The 20,925-nt window shown below is 38.2% G+C and overlaps 1 protein-coding gene across 7 annotated transcripts in view; it reads right to left on the bottom strand.

The window, feature by feature from the left end:
• The window catches only part of HSD17B12 (hydroxysteroid 17-beta dehydrogenase 12), a 299,895-nt gene that overhangs the window by 58,998 nt on the left and 219,972 nt on the right, over positions 1-20,925 (bottom strand). The window lies entirely within an intron of this gene.

Here is a 20,925-nt window from a genome sequence, read left to right as displayed (position 1 = left end):
TTGCCTTCAATAGACAGCCCCTGTGAAGAGATAGCACAGGCTCTGAGGTCACACAGACATGAGCATCAATTTCATTTCCACATATATTTGCAAAATGACTTTAAGCAAGTCACACATCCTCTTTGAGCCTCACCATCCTTTGGTGAAAATGAAGATAATTTTACCCAAATGATGATGTGAGGCTCACATGATACCTATGGTACGCAGACGGCAGTCCATAAAGGCTAGATTCTCTTTCTCTCCTCAACCATCTCCACTCAGCTTACTTAGTCAAGTCCAGTGAGCTAGGAATGCTTATTCTTTAGAACTTGCTGAGAATTCAAAAGAACTAATTTTAAAATCCTGCTTCCAAAAATAAATCTTTCTTTAGTCAAAGTCAATGTCAGCTCATCACAGAGCATGCAGGATTAATCCTCGTAGGAGGTATGTATTCTTGACCTAAAAGGATTTCTGTCTAAAACTAAAGAGTTGGTTCATGAGAGATCTGATTCTTAGTTAGACTTAATGAAAAGTACTGACCCTAGGTAGAAATCCATGAATAAACTGAAAAGAAGAATTGACCTAGAAAATACCTTATTTGGTGTTAAAGGTATACTTACTGTGCTAATATAAATGAGTTATAGGTGTGCTCATGTAATGGGAAGTTAGAGACAGAGCTGTAATTTCACAATAGCTGGTCCAACATGTCTACTTTAACATTTCACAGAATTTATCACCAGTAAATAAAGAATGCTGACTTTATTATAGCCACAGATCCACAAGGGAAAAAAAAAGCCCCAAAACAAAAGCTTAAAAATACCTTTGATTAAATGAAAAACTTCATTCAAGAATAACATAAGGTAAATTTATCTATTTATTTTGAAAAGCAAATTATTTTTCCATACTAGTATTAGGTATTGACATTCAGGAAATTTTCTACCAATAAAAGCCAACTCACAACTCCTGAACCAAATTCACTCTTCTGCATCTCACAGGATTTGCTGAATGTACATACTTACATTGTAGAGTTTTGTATAGATATGTTGCTAAAAAGATTCAATGACACTTTCACGAAGAATGTTATTTAGTAATGAACCAAAGCAAGCTCTTTGTATTCACATTAGCATAAGCAAATGGCTTCTGGTACAAGTTTTTCAGGTTAATTAAAATTTCTGAACTCATACCTAGATTTCCCAGAATCATGTACTAATACAGTGACCACTGCCTTTTTTAAAAAACAACTTTTCTTCACTGCCTCTATTGTGAGCCTTTCCATTTTTTTTTTTCTTTTAAGAGATGGGGTCTCAAGCCTGGGCTTAAGCCTCCTTAGTAGCTGGGACTATAGGCACACACCATCGTTCCCGGCTTTTCCTATTTAACGTAGGTCAGACCATGATACCCACCTCTTCACAAACCTCCAGAGATTTCCCTCTCACTCAGAGTAAGAGCCAAAAGGCTGTGGCAACAGCCTAATAAACGGTGTGAGTTTATTGGCTGAACTCACCTCCAACTACTCTCCCCGTTGCTCCTCAGTTCTAGCCATAGGGGATCCTAGCAGTTGTTTAGATACAGAATGTTGTCCACGTACACTCGGGACTTAAACTTACCATTCCCTATGTTTGGAATGCTCTTCCACATCCCTTGTCTCTGGTGGGTCCTTGAGCAAATGTTACCTTCTCAGAGAAGCCTGCCTTGCCCACCCTTTAATAAATGCAACCATCCCCCCCAGCACTCCTCATGCCCTTCCCTGCTTTATTTTATCCCATTGTACTTACCACCTTCTAATACACTAGGTAGTGTATTTTAATAATGTACATGCTTGTCTATATGTCTTGACTCAAATTAAGCTTCAAGAAGACAAGGACTTGGTTCTGTTTTGTTCAGTTGCTCAACAATGGCACAAATGATCTGGGATTTTCCCACCCTCCTCTCTTTTCCCTTAGGCTGGCTCCTTTCCTGGAGGGCCATTGCCATTCCATGCATCGCATGCAGACAACAATGTTCGGAGGCAGAGATTGTATGTCTCTGTGATATGTCCCTTTTATAGAGAGAAAATTTCCCCAGAAGAATCCAGCAGACTCCCACCACGTTTCCTTTCCAAGGAATATGGTACATGCATGCTATTGACCAGGGACATGGTTGGGTGGACTTTCAGAATTCCATCAACTGCCTCCACCTCCACCATCGAGTTCTGTGAATCAAAAATAGATGTGCATATATAAGAATAGGACAGGAACTGTCTCTTTCTGGGCCAAGGCAATTGAATAAGAATTATAATGGAGGGGTCTAGAAGGCTAAGGTGGGAGCTAGCTAGCCTATGTTAAAAAAGAAAAGTTGAGAACGATGGTGTGTGCCTGTAGTCTCAGCTACTCAGGAGGCTTGAACTTGGGGCTTGGAGACCAGCCTAGAAGTAAATCTAGGCATCTTCCCCCTTCCCATAGCCTATTACCCTGCATGTGACCCTGCCAACAGAAGACAAGACAAATGGACAAGAATCCTCTAACTTTAAACATCAGTATGAGGGTGAATTAAGCACCTGGAACAGAAGTAGATACCAGATATACATAACACAGCCCTCATTTCCATCTTCACACCTCCCCAACCTGTTTTTTTTCATAAAACCACCAGTCTACAACTCAGCAACAGCCTACTGCTAGGGAAGAATAAGCACTTTACCAAAGTTTTTGGAGTAGTACTTCTTCTGGGACTCTGATCCTTGCCTCATTACAAAGGTCTAAGAAATGACACAGCCTCTCTCTTTTTTCCAGAGTAGGAGTTGAAATAAGTTAAAATCAATATCCCACAAGTGTGTAGGATAAAGATGCACAAACAATTGGATTTGGAGGTTGCAATGAATATGATATGAGCCACACAATTACCCCTTCAGTGAAACTCATGTTGCCCTAATTGTGGGAGTATCACCAGCAGACAGCTTTTGGGTGTCAGCCTCAGCTGCAGAGTTGCCTTGTCCAAGATCACGCTCTTTCCGTAGCATCCTCATCCAATGGCTGATCCCGGTGAATGTTTAAAGTGATTGGACAGCTTGTACCTACAAGATTCTGATTCCAGAAGTATAGTCTGTTTATTATCTTATTTTTCTGTTCTTTCACAATGCCCTAGTTTTAGTTATGCTACATCTAAAATGGGTTTCAACATTTCTAGTAGTGCAAGTCTACTTTGTTCTTCTTTTTTAAAAACTTATTGCTTATCCTCACCTGTTTAGTCTCAGTTTTGATTGGGATTACATTAAACATTTCAATTAAAGAATGACAATGTGGCATTCCCTCCGGGCTCTCCATTTATTCAAATGTTTTGTTTAAATATCTCACAGTAAAATCTTGTGGTTGTAAATTCTTAAAGACTTAAAGAATTCCATGATATATACAGATACTCAATACTATTGATGCCTATTGACAAATCAGTCGGTATCTGAAATTGTATGAGCTAGCATCCCACTACTTACAGTTGTGGTTACATATAGTCATGACCCATCCCAACTTTATTTTCAGATGAAAATAATTATCAGATGGTCTTGGCCAACTGCCTCTCAGCCTAGTGGCTAAGACCAAACACCAAGAAGAAAAAAACTGGTATGAACTGCTCGAGGCAGTCAACTAACTAGAAATGGAGGCAGAAATGCAACTCTGGCATAAAAAGTGGAGAATGAAGCTAAGCTACACTGATACTATTCACTCCCTTTCTATCTACTGCTCCATTGAAAACCAGATAACTACAATTGTGGAAAAGCAGAAAGCAAATATTATTTATAACGATAGTGCTATAGAATAATGAATATCCTCACTGGCCTCAAGCCATTCCATCACCTGCAAGAGCACATGCACCACTCCTACAGTCACACTGCTGTTTACGACACAGAGTATTCAGAATTCATTCAAGGTCAAGTCTGGAATTGACAGAAAAGGAACTGAACCCTCAAATAGTCTCAAGATGCTGCTGAAACACCTCTCAATATTAAAACTCACACATTTTTAGGTACAAGCCAAGAAAGGTGATAAATATATTCAGAATGGCTTTATGTTTACCATACTTCCAGCTCTGGCCATCATCATTTTCATTTTGCTCAACAAATTGGCATTTCCTTTTAAATTTCTCTTTCTATAAAAATAATTTTATAGATTTTAGAAGGACTTTCCTCAAGTTTTTCCCCTAGGTGGCTGGGGATATTAAGTCTGAGAATGTTACAAAAGAAGTCTAATTTACATAAACTTGTGTGTTATTTGTGTTTTTTCTATTAATAAAACCAAAATATATATGTTGACTCTCCTTTGTCCCCACATCTGCTCCAAATAAACAGCCTGCCTTCCCCTGTAAGTTTTAGGTACTATCCATTATGAAATTTCTGTCATATCACCCTTCCTCACTTTTTCCATATTATAACATTATTATAACATTCTTTAAGATTCAAGTCATGTTACTGCATCCGTGGACATATTTTTCACTATTCCTATTTCCTCCAAGGTAAAGCTACTTCCACTCTCTGCTGTGCTCCTAGAAACCTTCTATATAACCCTACGAGGCACTTAATATATTAAGCAAAGAGTCTGTTTCTTAAACAGGGAGCATTATTTGTCATATTTGTATTCCCTGCAGCTAGCACCATGTCTGGCATAAAGCAGAGGTCATTCTGCTCAATGTTTGTTAAATGAGTAAATAAAGCTAGGCCAACACAGCTGATTTATTAAAATCATCTTCTCAATACTTCTTGAATTCCTCCCTATAGAAATTACATTTCTTACATGCTGGTAAGAAATGTATGTATAAGACAGAACATTAGGCATATTAAAATATAAGCTAGAGTGGGGTGTGGTGGTGCACGCCTGTAGTACCACCTACTCTGGAGGCTGAAGCAAGAGGATCACTTGAGCCCTGCAGTTTGAGACCAGCCAGGACAACATAGCAAGACTCCAGCTCTCAAAAAAAAAAAAAAAAAAAAAAGGTTACATTGAGAGACAATTCAGTTCCTCCATCTGTCATACACGGGTCTGGACTATCATTCTCATATAAATTCAAACATTTTAGAGTTATAAGAAACCTTAGAAACCATCCCATCTCATGAATAAAGTACTCTAAGCTTGGCTCAGGGGCACATATATGAAGGTTGAGGATATTTTAGTCATGTACCAATCTCCCTTATTCCAGTCTTGGAAAAGATAATGAGTTGGGGAGAGGAGACTCTTAGAGAAACAGCACTATATTCAATGCGTACCAATTTTAGCATCTTAAAAATAAATTCATAAAATTCAGTTTGTAACCATAAAAATGTCTCGCACGTTTTTTAAAAAACCTCTCCATTTTCACTAAAATTATGTTTTACAGTATTTAGAGATTTAAAAGATGCAAGACAAGTCTTTTGTACTTTCTCTAATTTTAAGGGGAAAAGAAAAACAAAGTACCCTAACCAATTTCTCTCCACTTCCCTTCTTTTCCTGTCTTCTTTCCCCCACAACTCCTAGGCCTTACCGTATCCTTACATCCCTACTATCCCTTGGGGTGAGACATCCCCCAACAAAGAAAGCCTGCCTTACATGACTTTGGAAAAGGTGATTGTGTACCAGAAGGGAATAATTGATCTGACTCCATTTATAAAGGCCCATTTAATTACAATGAGCAGAGATGCCACACAAATAATGGTCTATTTCCTTTTTTATGTTGCCCTTGGAAAAATATTCATGACAATTTTAATCTCATATGAAGAGACCCATTTTCCAAAAAATTAATCATAGCTCATCAGGATTCTATCTCAAACCAAGCATTTCTTTATTTTAAGCCAAGGTTATTATATTTTTTTCATTATAGCCTCTTTAACTAGAACAACCACTTGCAATAAATAAAAACCTTATGCTGCGTGAATCTGTTCTATTGATAGGACGTGAATAGGCTCCATCCTTTTGAAAGCTCTGGGTTCTACAGTTGGTCCAGGAATTGTAGACTCTTGTACAAACCACTCTTGAAGAAATTTTCATATAACAACGTTGATTTTTCTGCACTTGGTAAACAAAAGGTCAACAGAAGTACCTGAATTTTGTTTTTTGAGGGGAGAAAAAGGCAAAATATTCCTCTTCTTCTTCTTCTTCTTTTTTTTTTTTGAGACAGAGTCTCACTCTGTCACCCAGACTGGAGTGCAGTAGTGTGATCTCAGCTCACTGCAACCTCTGCCTGCCAGGTTCAAGAGATTCTCTTGCCTCAGCCTCCCAAGTAGCTGGGATTACAGGCACCCACCACCACACCCAGCTAAGTTTTGTATTTTTAGTAGAGACAGGGTTTTGCCACGTTGGCCAGGCTGGTCTCGAACTCCTGACCTCAGGTGATCCGCCTGCCTTGACCTCCCAAAGTGCTAGGATTACAGGCATGAGCCACTGCTCCCGGCCCAAAACATCATTCTTAAGATTACTACACTTAAGATTCCAAGATGCTACTGCTAGCAGTATGAAAGCAGGGTTCACTGGAAGAGCCTGGGATGCAGTTAGAAGACCTGCACTTGAGTGCCAACTCAACTGGTTGCTGGCCTAAGGCCCTTCACTCAAGCCTTTGAACTTTCAAGAATACCATTTCTTAGCCTAGAAAACCACAAAAAATAATACCCACCCTACACAGTTTTTTTTTATTTTGTTTTTTGTTTTTTTGAGATGGAGTTCCGCTTTTGTTGCCCAGGCTGGAATGCAATGGTGCAATCTTGGCTCACTGCAACCTCCACCTCCTGGGTTCAAGCGATTCTCCTGCCTCAGCCTTCCGAGTAGCTGGGATTACAGGCACCCACTACCATGCCCTGTTAATTTTTGTATTTTTTTATTAGAGATGGGGTTTCACCATGTTGGCCAGGCTGGTCTCAAACTCCTGACCTCAGGTGATCCGCCTGCCTCAGCCTCCCAAAGTGCTGGGATTACAGGCGTAAGCCACTGTGCCTGGCCCATAATAATTCATAAGTTTTAAATTGCACGCCATTCTAATTAGCATGATGAAATCTTGCACTGTCCTGCTCTCAGTGTGAATCATACCTTTGTCCAGCATATCCATGCTGTACACACCACCCACTCTTTAGTCACTTAGTATCTCTCTTGGTTATCAGATCAGAAAAAGAGCACATATAGGTATATAGGGTTCAGCACTATCCACAGTTTCAAGTATTCACTGGGGATCTTGTGGCATATCCCCTGCAGACACGGGGGGGACTCCTCTATCTGCCAATATCTACAAAGATGGCTGCTTGGCAAATAGTTGTTTTTTCCTTAATAGCATAGGCTGCTGTAGGTATAATCTGTATTCTTAACTCTTACCTCCTTGCATCAGCTGCATATTTTTTCAAGCTGGCATGAACATCTGACTCTGCTTCAAAAAGTGATTCATTACCATATCATCCATGGAATCAATGGTCATGATGTACTATTTTTAGCCTTGCTTTTAGCGTCCAAGTATTTCCTTGACTCAATTTGCTTGTAATTAACCTTTAAATTATTGTATGTTATCTATTCCAAGGTGTACATTTTAGTTCACTTTTCATCTCTGAAATCAAGGTGTTTTATAATTGATGGCAAGTCAGTTTAATTGGTGAATTTTCTTTCTTAGTGGTTATAAGCTGCATTGTTGCTTCATGATCAATGGTATCTCAGATTTGATGAAAGAAGCCTGGGAACCCTGCTGACAGTCACGCTTCTCTCTCTTTTTTGCGGGGGGGAGGCAGTGGGCAGTGGGACAGGGTCTCACTCTGGCACCCAGGCTAGAGTGCAGTGGCGCGGTCATGGCTCATTGCAGCTTGGACCTTCTGGGTTCAAGAGATCCTCCCATCTCAGCCTCCCAAGTAGCTGGGACCACAGGTGCATGCCACCATGCCCATCTAATTTTGGGGGTTTTGTCATGCTGCCCAGGCTGGTCTCAAACTCCTGGGCTCAAGTGATCTACCTGCTATGAGCTCCCAAAGTGCTGGGATTACAGGCATGAAACCACAATGGCTAGCCTACCCTTCTCTTTAATGTCACCAAATGACCTGGGTCAGCTTCCAAATACAAAATTCCCAGTACTCTAGGGATCATAATATTCCACCACCACTGCTAGTCAAAGAGACAAAAAGATTTCCCATTCTAAACCAAGGCCCAGGTGCTCATTCATTTATTCAGGAGCATGGCAAGTTGCAATCTGGCAAAGCATCTCACTCCCTAAACTGTAAGCTCTATGAGGGCAGGATCTGTGTCTGTTTTTTGCTCTTTACTACTGTTTACTCAAAGCCCAACAGTACTTGGTACTTTATAGGAGCTCAATAAATGTTTTGATTGAATAAATTCAAGAAATACATACTAAGTAGTGCCCATGTGTCAGGCTTCACCCTGAGGACAATAACAAATACCCTCAAATAGGTTATATTTTGATGAAGGAGATATGTGTAAACCCAATTGCTGCTCTAATAAATATAAACAAAGCATCAAAGAGAAAGCAACTCATTCTTGCAGAGTGCTATTTTACCTACTAGGTAACATTTGTGTGGAGTTTTTGGTGAAGAGTAGGAATTGACCCTATCAAGAAAGGGCAGATGTTGGCAAAACCAGAAAGTGCAGAAAACGAACAGCATGTTTTAAGAATCCCTGTGGATGGCACAGAGAAGCGGAAAGAAAATTCGTAGAAGACAGCTGGTGGAGGTTGTATGGTCCAAGATAACAAATAGGACTAGCTACTTAATTTGTGGGACCCAGTGTAAAATAAAAATGTGGGGCCCCCTCATTCAAAAGTTATTAAGAATTTCAAGATGGCAATAGCAGAGCATTAAACCAAGTATGGACCCTTCTAAGTGTGGGGCTCCATGCAAATGCTCAGGTCACAGGCCTATGGAATTGGTCCTATAACAAGTTTATATTTCCTCCTGTGTGTTACAATTACTTAGGAGAGGTTATTAAACTGGGAAGTTACAAGATCACACTTCTTTTTTTTTTTTTTTTTTTTTTTTGAGGAAGGAAATGACGGTGGCAGAGTAGAAGATACACAGCTTGTTATAAAAAGCGACAGGTGGCAGGCAGAGAACAAAGCAGCTGCTTCATTAGTCCCGTGAGAGAGGAGGGTCCCATGGAGAGAGAGACAGCAGTGGGAAGAGGAAGGCAGGCTAGGCTGGGAGGGACTTCTGAGTGAGAGCCCACAGGACTGTACAACTGAGCAGACAAACAGCTCTATGAAGAGACAGAACACAAGGGTTATAAAATGTATAAACATTTGCTTTAGAAATCTGGTTAATGAAACATCACATTTTATAGCTAAAACAGTCTTTCTAGTTCTGCATATGAGGCAATGTTCCTGTGATTATGTCTCAGCATTTTTTTTAATCATATGAAATGTGTCTCTCTGTTATTTTTTAGTAAAACGAATCTTTTCTTGAGGTAAGTTACTTCTCTCTCTTTGTTAGCTTGAAAAATGAAATGACTACCAAGAAGATTTGGGCCAGAGCTGACCAATTTTCCATGCAGGATAACCGTGACCTACAAATCAAGTTAGAAAGCAAAAAGAGATATTCTTGTAACCCACCATACTATTTCTCCCTTCTTCTTTCACACATAAAGATAGCTAAAATTAATTAGAAGTCAAATATCACACAGTACCTTTATTTTAAAAATGCTGATTGAGCTAATTTTTTTAAAAAAGTAATCTCTTTTTATTTTAACCTGTCACTTTGTTCTTATGAGATTCCACTCTGGTTTTGTAAAATCTTGCCACAGGAAAAAATTATTCTTTTCAAGGTCTGGATCTCCCACTTTGGTAGTTAGAAAAAAGAAGCTTAACAGTTGATTTTATTTCTTTTCTTTAAAAAGGGAACTTTGGGGGCAGAAAACTCACCATAAAATTTAAAATAGCTATTGAAATGAGTATTTACTTTACTATTATTATTATTATTTTTTTTTTTTTCCGAGACGGAGTCTTGCTCTGTCACCCAGACTGGAGTGCAGTGGTGCAATCTTAGCTCACTGCAACCTCCACCTCCCAGGTTCAAGCAATTCTCCTGCCTCAGCCTCCCAAGAAGCTGGGATTACAGGCGCCTGCCACAATGCCTGGCTAATTTTTGTATTTTTAGTAGACATGGAGTTTCACAATGTTGGCCAGGCTGGTCTTGATCTCCTGACCTCAGGTGATCTACCCGCTTCGGCCTCCCACAGTGTTGGGATTATAGGTGTCAGCCACCGTGCCCGGCCAAGTATTTACTTCATTGCCATTTATGCTTAGATCAAGATAGTTCAACAATATTTTGTCAAGAGTAGAATAATCTTTCTGTTCAACACAGAAAACAGCCTCTCTTCATTTACCAAAAGAGCATAGTTTTTACATATTAATACAAAATAAAAGCAAAGGCAGTTGATACACAATCTGTTCTGCAACACTTTCAGAACAAAGAATAAGAATTTAAAGGCCAGGCAAGGTGGCTCACACCTGTTATCCCAGCACTTTGGGAGGCGGAGGCGGGTGGATCACCTGAGGTCAGTAGCTTGCGATCAGCCTGGCCAACATGCTGAAACCCAGGGTCTACTAAAAATACAAAAATTAGCCTGACATGGTGGTACATGCCTGTAATCCCAGCTATTCTGGAGGTTGAGGCATGAGAATCACTTGAACCCAGGAGGAGGAGGTTGAAGTGAGCCAAGATCACCACTGCCCTCCAGCCTGGGCAACAGAGCAAGACTCTGTCTCAAAAGCAAACAAACAAAGAACAAAGTCATTTTGACCCTAGGATTCCCTAAAGGTACCATATAAAATGTATAGAGATATAGTTAATATTCTACCAACAAGACAGGAGTAATAATACAGTTATCAATTTCTGAGCATTGACTATACTCCAAGAATGCTACTAAATAACATTAAGTTATCCAATCTGTACAAGAACTTACTGGTATATTGCTGAAGTTTAAAATAATTATTCTCACAAATATCAGTTTTCAACATTTGAAAGGTCATGTTGTTTTTTAAATTTTGAAATAATCTCAAACCAGGAAAGCTGTAAATATTCTACAAGTAACTTTTTTCCCCTGAATCATTTTAGATTAAATTGCTGACATGATGCCCAGCACCCAAAAATACTTTGATGTAGTAGTTCTCAAAATGTGGTCCATGATCCCTGAGAGTCAAAAATACTGACATTCTCTGCCCTCTTCACTATATTGAGAAAAGCAATGGTGGGTAAAACTGCTAGAACCTAAACAAGAATCAAAGCAGTGGCACCCGGCTGTATTGGAAGTCATTGTATTCTTCACATACTTGTAGTAAAAAAGAAAAAAGTCAGTTTCATTTAAAAATATCCCTTGATGAAGCAGTGAAAATCATTAATTTTGTTAAACCTCTATTTGAGTACAAATCTTTTTATTGTTCTGTGTGACAAAATGGAAAGTATGCATGAAGCACTTTTTCTGTGTTCCTAATACAATGGCTGTCTTGAGGAAAAGCATTTGTGCAATTGAGTCGTGAGTTGAATTAGCCCCTTTTTTCACGCAACCCACTTTATATGAAAGAACAACTGACAGAAAAACGATGCTTATTTGAATTTGGCAGGCATATTATCAAAAATGAATGAGGTTAGTTTGTCACTTCAAGAAAAACAAGCAACAGTATTTGTTGTCCATGATAACATTTGAGTTTTCAAATGAAAATAAGGGTTTTGGAAAACTTGTATCCACCCCCATCAGCTTAAGAGAAAAAACTTTTCTGATAAGATTGGGGGTAATATTAACAATTGTGATTATCTTTGATACTGTGTCAACATTTGGAAGAGCTGCAAAATTCAGGAACAAATATTTTCCAAGTGATCAATGCATAAAGTTACAAAGTCATGATGGATAAAAGACCTATTCAGACTATGAGGTAGAACAATGAACTTTAATATTTTAATGTCACTCAGTGTAAAAAATTGATATAATTTCAGATTCCATATTGCAACTAACTTTTAAGAAGCTTTCACTTAGAATGTTTTGATGGACCAAAAGAATATCCACAATCATCCAAAGAAGCTATTAAAATAGCTTTCTCTTCTCCAACTACGCATCCATGTAAAGCCAGATTTCCTTCTACTTCAACCAAAATAACAAATTGCAGCAGACTGAATGCAGAAGTAGATATGCAAATCTAACTATGTTTTAGACTAAACTGTTTGGACTAGAGCAAGCTCTGCTCTAGTCACATCCTGGAAGCTGACTAGTCTATGCACAGCCAAAGCTTGAGGACTCATCAAGCAAGTAAATGTAGTTAAAAATCTTAAGACTAATAGTTTTCATGTAATATTAACTGTTTTCCTATTGTTCTGTCGCTGTATTCAACCTTTTTCCCAGGTAAGGACCTCTTTTGTCCTTGCTAGATATGAATATGCTGTATATTGTTTTGTTGTTGTTATCCCCCTTAACCATGCTAGAAGAAACACCTATAGAAAGATGTCCCCACTGTACACACACTACTTGGTCAAGTAACCCGAACCTGTCTGGCCCAGCAACAATTCTGAGTCTTTAAGTCATTCTTTAAGCATATAAACCAGAAGTTACCAGAGCCTCCTCATTTAGCAAAAAAAAAAACCCTGTTTACTTAGCTGGCTGAAAACACTGTCAGCAGCCTAAGCATTTCCTCATGTTATGTTTATAGAAAAGCTAACATGAGAGACCAATAGCCTTAAGAAGCAAAAAAGTTAATGCCTCAAGATAACTTTAATTTAACTGACTCTTTCCCCAAACAGATGCTCACAAGTTCCAGTGTCTGGCGTTTAAAAAGTTCTGTTATTAAGAAATACTATGCTGCTCACTAAAAAAAGGCTTTTAAGACCCAGTAAAAGAACAAACCTGCTTAGAACATGATAAAGTTGGCACATGTGTCTGTACAGGTTTAGCACAGGTTTAATCCTAAGTCTTTATTTAGAAAAATAGTTTCCAGCTATAAGAAGATTTAAAACCCTCATTGTAAGTATACTGCTAGTAATAAGAACTTGCTTGCTGCTCCCCTGCGTATTACCCTTGCTCCTTCAAATGATAAAAGGTTTTGTTGCCACCCTGGTTCATCAGAAAACTTCAGCACAAGTGTATTACATGAATCACTATCACTCTGTCTCACAAAGAGACTCAGAAAGTAAAAATAAAAGTGAGAACTTCAACTAATAAGTGAAATTCTCCAAGGGGGGAATAAGGAAGGAGACCACCATTTCTCCTGCTGCCCCCCACCCCCACCTGCCCTTGTCTAGTTTATAAGACAGGAGGAAAAGAAAAAAGCAAAAAGTTAAAAAGAAGATAAATAGCCAGATGGCCTGGTGTCACCATCTGGCCCTGGCAGTTAAAATAATAATAATAATAATAATAATAATAATAATAATAATAATAATATCAATCCCTGACCTAAACTACTTGTGTTATCTGTAAATTCCAGACATTGTATGAAAAAGCATTGCAAAACTTTCTGTTCTGTTAGCTTATGCATGTAGCCCCCAGTAACGTTTCCCATGCTTACTCGATCTATCATGACTCTTTCATGTGGACCCCTTAGGAGTTGTAAGCCCTTAAAAGGGCCAAGAATTTCTTTTTGAGGGAGCTCAGCTCTTAAGACGCAAGTCTGCTGATGCTCCTGGCCGAATAAATCCTCTTCCTTCTTTAATCCGGTGTCTGAGGAGTTTTGTCTGTGGCTCATCCTGCTACAATGCCAGATATTAAAGAGATTTTGTAAATGTAAAATGATGTGGTTGTTCTCACTATATTTTGTTTTGTTTCAGAATATATAGTTATTTTCCCTCAAAATGTGTAGTGTTAACATGTAAAGGGTTTACTGTTATTATTTTTAAGTGAGTTAAATAATTATTTTTTAAGTTTCTCAGTTTCAATTTATAATGTGATAAACATTGATAGTGGTATCCTATGTAAACAAACGCTCTTTGGGGATGTGTTCATGTCCTTTGCAGGGACATGGATGACGCTGGAAACCATCATTCTCAGCAAACTAACACAAGAACAGAAAACCAAACACCGCATGCTCTCACTCATAAGTGGGAGTTGAACAATGAGAATGAGAACACATGGACACAGGGAAGGGCGCATCACACACCAGGGCCTGTTCAGGGTGTGGGTGGCAAGCAGAGGGATAGCATTAGGAGAAATACCTAATGTAGATTACGAGTTGATGGGTGGAACAAACCACCATGGCACGTGTATACCTATGTAACAAACTTGCATGTTCTGCACGTGTATCCCAGAACTTAAAGTATAATTTAAAAAAAAAAGTAAAAAAAAAAAAAAAGCTCTTTGGAGTCCTCAATAATATTTAAGAGTAAAAAGGGCTCTGAGACTAAAAAGTTTGAGAATGCTGCCTTAGTATGTACTTACTGCAGTCTCCTAAATGATGTAACCATCGAAATCAAGAAATTAACATTGAGGAATAATTACTATTGATGAATAATTACTATCTTCTAATCCTCAGAGCCTGTCAATTTTTACTAGTTGTCCCAACAATATCCTTTACTGCAAAAGGATCCAAGTCAGAATCACCCAATGCATTTAGCTACCATTCTGGTTAGCCTCCTTCAATCTGGAACAGTCTTTCTGCCCTGTCCTTGACCTTCATATCCTTGATACATTGATTATTACAGGCCAATTACTTTGTAGAATGTCCCTCAACTTAGGTTTGTATGCTTCCTCATGATTAGATTCAGGATATGCACTTTTGGCCAGAATATCACAGAAGTGATGCTGTGTTTCTCACTGCATCCCATCAGGTGGCACATCATTTTGATTTGTCCCAGTACTGATGATGATAACTTTTGTCTCTTATTAAGGTAGTGTCTGCCAGTTTCCTCCACTATAAAAGTTACTATTATTTCCTTTTTAATTTGCAAGTTTTTGTATTCTGTAGGAAGATACTTTAAGACTACATTAAATCCCATTCCTTGTAAAAATTTCATTTCATTCATTTACTTATCATAATTACAATGGGCTCATGCTTTCCTATTTTTTTTTTTTTTTTGAGACAGAGTCTCTCTCTGCCACCCAGGCTGGAGTGCAGTGGCGCAATCTTGGCTCACTGCAACCTTTGCCTCCCGGTTCAAGCAATTCTCCTGCCTCAGCCTCACAAGTAGCTGGGACTACAGGCTCGTGCCACACCCAGCTAACTTTTGTAGTTTTAGTAAACGGGGTTACACTATGTTGACCAGGCTCATCTTGAACTCCTGACCTCAGGTAATCCTCCTGCCTTGGGCTCTCAAAGTGTTGGGATTACAGGAGTGAGCCACCGTACCCGGCCATGGTTTTCTATTTTAATTAACAGATTATAATTTGTTTCCATCCTTTTAATTTTAATGCTCAATTTATCCAGGTTTGGTTAGATAGCATCCCTTCAAGCTGGATAGTGGAAATCCCTTCAAGTATCTTTGACATCTATGCTGCATAATACAGGCTGATTAAATGCTCTAATTTAAGCCTTGATTTGAGAAGAGATAGCTTTATTTGTGACCTTCACTTGGTGGATAAAGGGTCTAAATAAATATGTGAGCTTTGTAGGGGCAAAACGAGTTCTCAGTTATTAATACTTACTAAGTTTCATGCTAATGATATATAAGCAACTCCACGCTTTGCCTAAAGCATTCCCAGAAAGTGTATCAAATGCATATTGAAAAGTAGATCATATGTGCCCACAGAAACAATTTTATAATTGGAATTTGTTATTAAATCAATCAGAGTTAAACCTAATAACTGTAACATACACACATATAATACCATTAGTCTCTGGAATAATTTAAAATAGTAAAATTATGTTTCCAAATACTGATTGTCTGAAGGATCCAATAACTATAAAGTACATATACAGCTTATAAATATGTGACTAACAGAACACAAATTTGGCCTTAAAAAGCATTAGTTAATTACACTTAATATACAATAAAATTTCATTTTTAAAATTCAGGGGAATGATTTGGACAGTAAGGAAACTTCCTAAACTCCCTAAAATTGTTGGCAAAATATTCTGTGTGTGTGTGTATATATATGTATATATATTTATTTTTGTAGGAATAAACGTTTTACCATTTGAATTCACAAGAAGGTCCATGACACTCAAATAATAAGCATTTTTGGTTTTCTTACTGCCCAGAGATAGCCACAGTGAAAGGTCTGGGCTGTTATCTTGCAGATCTTTTTTGATGTGTATCTACATGTTATCTACAAACAGAATTGGTTCATGAGTTTGGCATTTGTGTGAATGTGGTGTATTCTTTTTTTAAAACAAAAGACAGACCAGACTTTCTCTAAAAATGCTATTCTGCAACTTGCTTTTTTTTCACTAAAGATGACCTTCCATGTCAGCATATACAGACAAACATTTTTAATGATTTCATAGCATCCTTGCATAATATTACATAGAACAGCTATGCCATAATTTCTTTAATCAGGCATCAAAAACATAGCGTTAAGGGCACAGATCAAAGGAAGAATTCATTGTATTGGAGAAGGAGATTGTATCATGGAAAGTTAAGAGCAACAGAATAGGTGAAGCTGGTGAATTCAGAGGAAATTTTATAGGTCACCAAGACCTTATGAGGAGGCGTTGGGGGGAAGACAAGATAAGAACAGGGAAACTGCAGAATGCTTATATTTGTTACCACCAAAGCCAAAAACACAGTTTGAGGAGAAGGAGTTATAGGTGCGACTAGTCTGCATGCACATATGCCCCAGATTCTGGGATTCCTTCTCATGCCAAAGATATGGCATTTTTATTATAAAATATACATATCTGTTATAATATATATAAAAAATAAAGTATGTAAAACAAATCATAATCCAAGGCAGGGCCACATATATTCTAGTTAAGGTCACCTTGGGGAAAGGTGCAGGAAGAATTTGACAAAAGATGTACCACAGGCAACAGCCAAAGGCACGAAGTCATAAAGAAAAGAATGTGAGTAATGCATTAAAGAACCATGCTGAGCCAGAGCATTCTGGAGTATTTGTGAACCCTGGTCACCTATTTTATCCCAGTGGCAATGGTAAAGACAGGTGATAACTCACGTTCTAATAATCTTTATCTAGCTTCTAAACATTTTCCTTAGAAAGACTAAAAACAATACATATGAGATGATATCCTGAGCAGCCTAATTGATGTATGCTTATGTAACATATGTATGGTATGCACATACATTACATATGTAACATATGTATGATAAGAATATGATACACATAGGCCAGGGGCAGTGGCTCACACCTGTAATCCCAGCACTTTGGGAGGCTGAGGTGGGTGGATCACCTGAGGTCAGGAGTTTGAGATCAGCCTGGTCAACATGGTGAAACCCCGTCTGTACTAAAAATATAAAAAAATTAGCCTGGCATGGTGGTGGGTGCCTGTAATCCCAGCTACTTGGGAGGCTGAGGCAGGAGAATCGCTTGAACTCAAGAGGCGGAGGTTGCAGTAAGCTGAGAACACGCCATTGCACTCTAGCCTGGGCGACAAGAGTGAAATTCTGTCTCAAAAAATAAAAGAATACCATACACATGAGATGATATCCTGAGCAGCAGGGAGTGTGTAAGGCAATATGATATGCAGCAACAGGGAGTGGAGAGGGCACTGGGGGATGAGAGGGAGCAGATCATCTGCATCCTGCTACCAATACTTCCCATGAAATCTCAGAGACTATCTCAAATATACAGGTCAGCAAAATTATTTTGCAAATGTCACTGGATTACCAATAATTCTGCAGCCAATTAGGATAAAAAATGAAAAAAGAAACCAAGTTTTCTTTATCAGTAGGTACTAGATACCAGGATGATAAACAGTAGTAAGATGAACGAAATTCAGTAACTCTCCTTGAACATCCTACCCAATGTGAAAGCGGTAATGCATCATGTGGAAAATATTTTGCCTACTGTTCAGGGCAGCTGGCAGTTTTATTTCTCATTTTGGCCCATTAAAGCAATGAACATATTATACCAGCAAAGGCAAAGACTGAAAGTTAAACTCGCCTTACATTCAAAATGTTCTCCAATACATTCTCATTTGATCCTTAAAACAATCTTCTCACTTATGTGGAACACAGAGTCTTCAATCACAGATGTGAATTCAGTCACACCTGTTTTACACAAAGTACAATAGACAGCAAGGTATCTCGGGCCACAAAGATTCACAGAGGAAGACAGATGAATCTGGGTCTCCTAATGACTAATCCATGGTCATAGTATCATGGTCCAGAAACAGCTCTTGGTATTTTAAAGAGCATGTTGCATAAAACCAATGTTGTAAGTTTATTTCCCATTCCAAAATAGAACACTGTTTTTAAGCCTGGATTTCAGGCAATTTCAGAATCTTAGTAATCCTTAATAATTAGTAACTAGGATCAGTCAAATTAATGCCTATAAGAAGAATTGATAAATGCCTATTATGTTTTCCTTAGAATTTTTATTGCCCACTTGGTAGATTATACTCCACACCATGTCCTCTCCACTAATTTAAGCAGGTCTCATTTCACATCCACATATTTGAAACTAGATGAAGACAAAGTGATAAAAGATAAATTCTATCTCATGATTTTGAAATGTAAGGCAAGCCATAAATTTTGAAGGTCAAAATATTTGAGATGAACCTCATTAATTAAACTGCCAAATTCTAAAATATTATATCATCTTTAAAAAATTTGAATCAAAGAAAATAAACTTTCTACAATACCACAAAAAGCTTTCAGTAAATACATATTCTAAAATGCTCAGTGTTTAACATTTTATTCCTAAGAGATTATAAATATTAAAATTAGTTCACAATACAGAAGATATATTACTTTTTAATAAACTAATTTTTCATGGTATGTATACTTGTAAAGAGAAAAACTTGAAGAAATAAATTTGAGTTTATTGAGAGTTTTTAGCATGAAGGGTTGTTGAATTTTGTCAAAGGCCTTTTCTGCATCTATTGAGATAATCATGTGGTTTTTGTCTTTGGTTCTGTTTATATGCTGGATTACATTTATTGATTTGCATATATTGAACCAGCCTTGCATCCCAGGGATGAAGCCCACTTGATCATGGTGGATAAGCTTTTTGATGTGCTGCTGGATTTGGTTTGCCAGTATTTTATTGAGGATTTTTGCATCAATGTTCATCAAGGATATTGGTCTAAAATTCTCTTTTTTGGTTGTGTCTCTGCCCGGCTTTGGTATCAGGATGATGCTGGCCTCATAAAATGAGTTAGGGAGGATTCCCTCTTTTTCTATTGATTGGAATAGTTTCAGAAGGAATGGTACCAGTTCCTCCTTATACCTCTGGTAGAATTCGGCTGTGAATCCATCTGGTCCTGGACTCCTTTTGGTTGGTAAGCTATTGATTATTGCCACAATTTCAGATCCTGTTATTGGTCTGTTCAGAGATTCAACTTCTTCCTGGTTTAGTCTTGGGAGAGTGTATGTGTCGAGGAATTTATCCATTTCTTCTAGATTGTCTAGTTTATTTGCATAGAGGTGTTTGTAGTATTCTCTGATGATAGTTTGTATTTCTGTGGGATCGGTGGTGATATCCCCTTTATCATTTTTTATTGTGTCTATTTGATTCTTCTCTCTTTTTTTCTTTATTAGTCTTGCTAGCGGTTTATCAATTTTGTTGATCCTTTCAAAAAACCAGCTCCTGGATTCATTAATTTTTTGAAGGGTTTTTTTGTGTCTCTATTTCCTTCAGTTCTGCTCTGATTTTAATTATTTCTTGCCTTCTGCTAGCTTTTGAATGTGTTTGCTCTTGCTTTTCTAGTTCTTTTAATTGTGATGTCAGGGTGTCAATTTTGGATCTTTCCTGCTTTCTCTTGTGGGCATTTAGTGCTATAAATTTCCCTCTACACAGTGCTTTGAATGTGTCCCAGAGATTCTGGTATGTTGTGTCTTTGTTCTCATTGTGGGACGTATTTCAAAATAATAAGAGCTATCTACGACAAACCCACAGCCAATATCATACTGAATGGGCAAAAACTGGAGGCATTCCCTTTGAAAACTGGCACAAGACAGGGATGCCCTCTCTTACCACTCCTATTCAACATAGTGTTGGAAGTTCTGGCCAGGGCAATTAGGCAGGAGAAGGAAATAAAGGGCATTCAATTAGGAGAACAGGAAGTCAAATTGTCCCTGTTTGCAGACAACATGATTGTATATCTAGAAAACCCCATTGTCTCAGCCCAAAATCTCCTTAAGCTGATAAGCAACTTCAGCAAAGTCTCAGGATACAAAATCAATGTGCAAAAATCACAAGCATCCTTATACACCAACAACAGTCAAACAGAGAGCCAAATCATGAGTGAACTCCCATTCACAATTGCTTCAAAGAGAATAAAATACCTAGGAATCCAACTTACAAGGGATGTGAAGGACCTCTTCAAGGAGAACTACAAACCACTGCTCAACGAAATAAAAGAGGATACAAACAAATGGAAGAACATTCCATGCTCATGGGTGGGAAGAACCAATATCGTGAAAATGGCCATACTGCCCAAGGCAATTTACAGATTCAATGCCATCCCCATCAAGCTACCAATGACTTTCTTCACAGAATTGGAAAAAACTACTTTAAAATTCATATGGAACCAAAAAAGAGCCCACATTGCCAAGTCAATCCTAGGCCAAAAGAACAAAGCTGGAGGCATCACACTACCTGACTTCAAACTATACTACAACGCTACAGTAATCAAAACAGCATGGTACTGGTACCAAAACAGAGATATAGATCAATGGAACAGAACAGAGCCCTCAGAAATAACGCCGCATATCTACAACTATCTGATCTTTGACAAACCTGAGAAAAACAAGCATTGGGGAAAGGATTCCCTATTTAATAAATGGTGCTGGGAAAACTGGCTAGCCATATGTAGAAAGCTGAAACTGGATCCCTTCCTTACACCTTATACAAAAATCAATTCAAGATGGATTAAAGACTTAAACGTTAGACCTAAAACCGTAAAAACCCTAGAAGAAAACCTAGGCATTACCGTTCA

This window comes from Homo sapiens, chromosome 11 (assembly GCF_000001405.40).
Source record: "Homo sapiens chromosome 11, GRCh38.p14 Primary Assembly".
Classification (NCBI taxonomy): Eukaryota; Metazoa; Chordata; class Mammalia; order Primates; family Hominidae; genus Homo; species Homo sapiens.
Note: the sequence above shows the minus strand (reverse complement) of the source record. Positions and strands in the feature narration are given on the sequence as shown.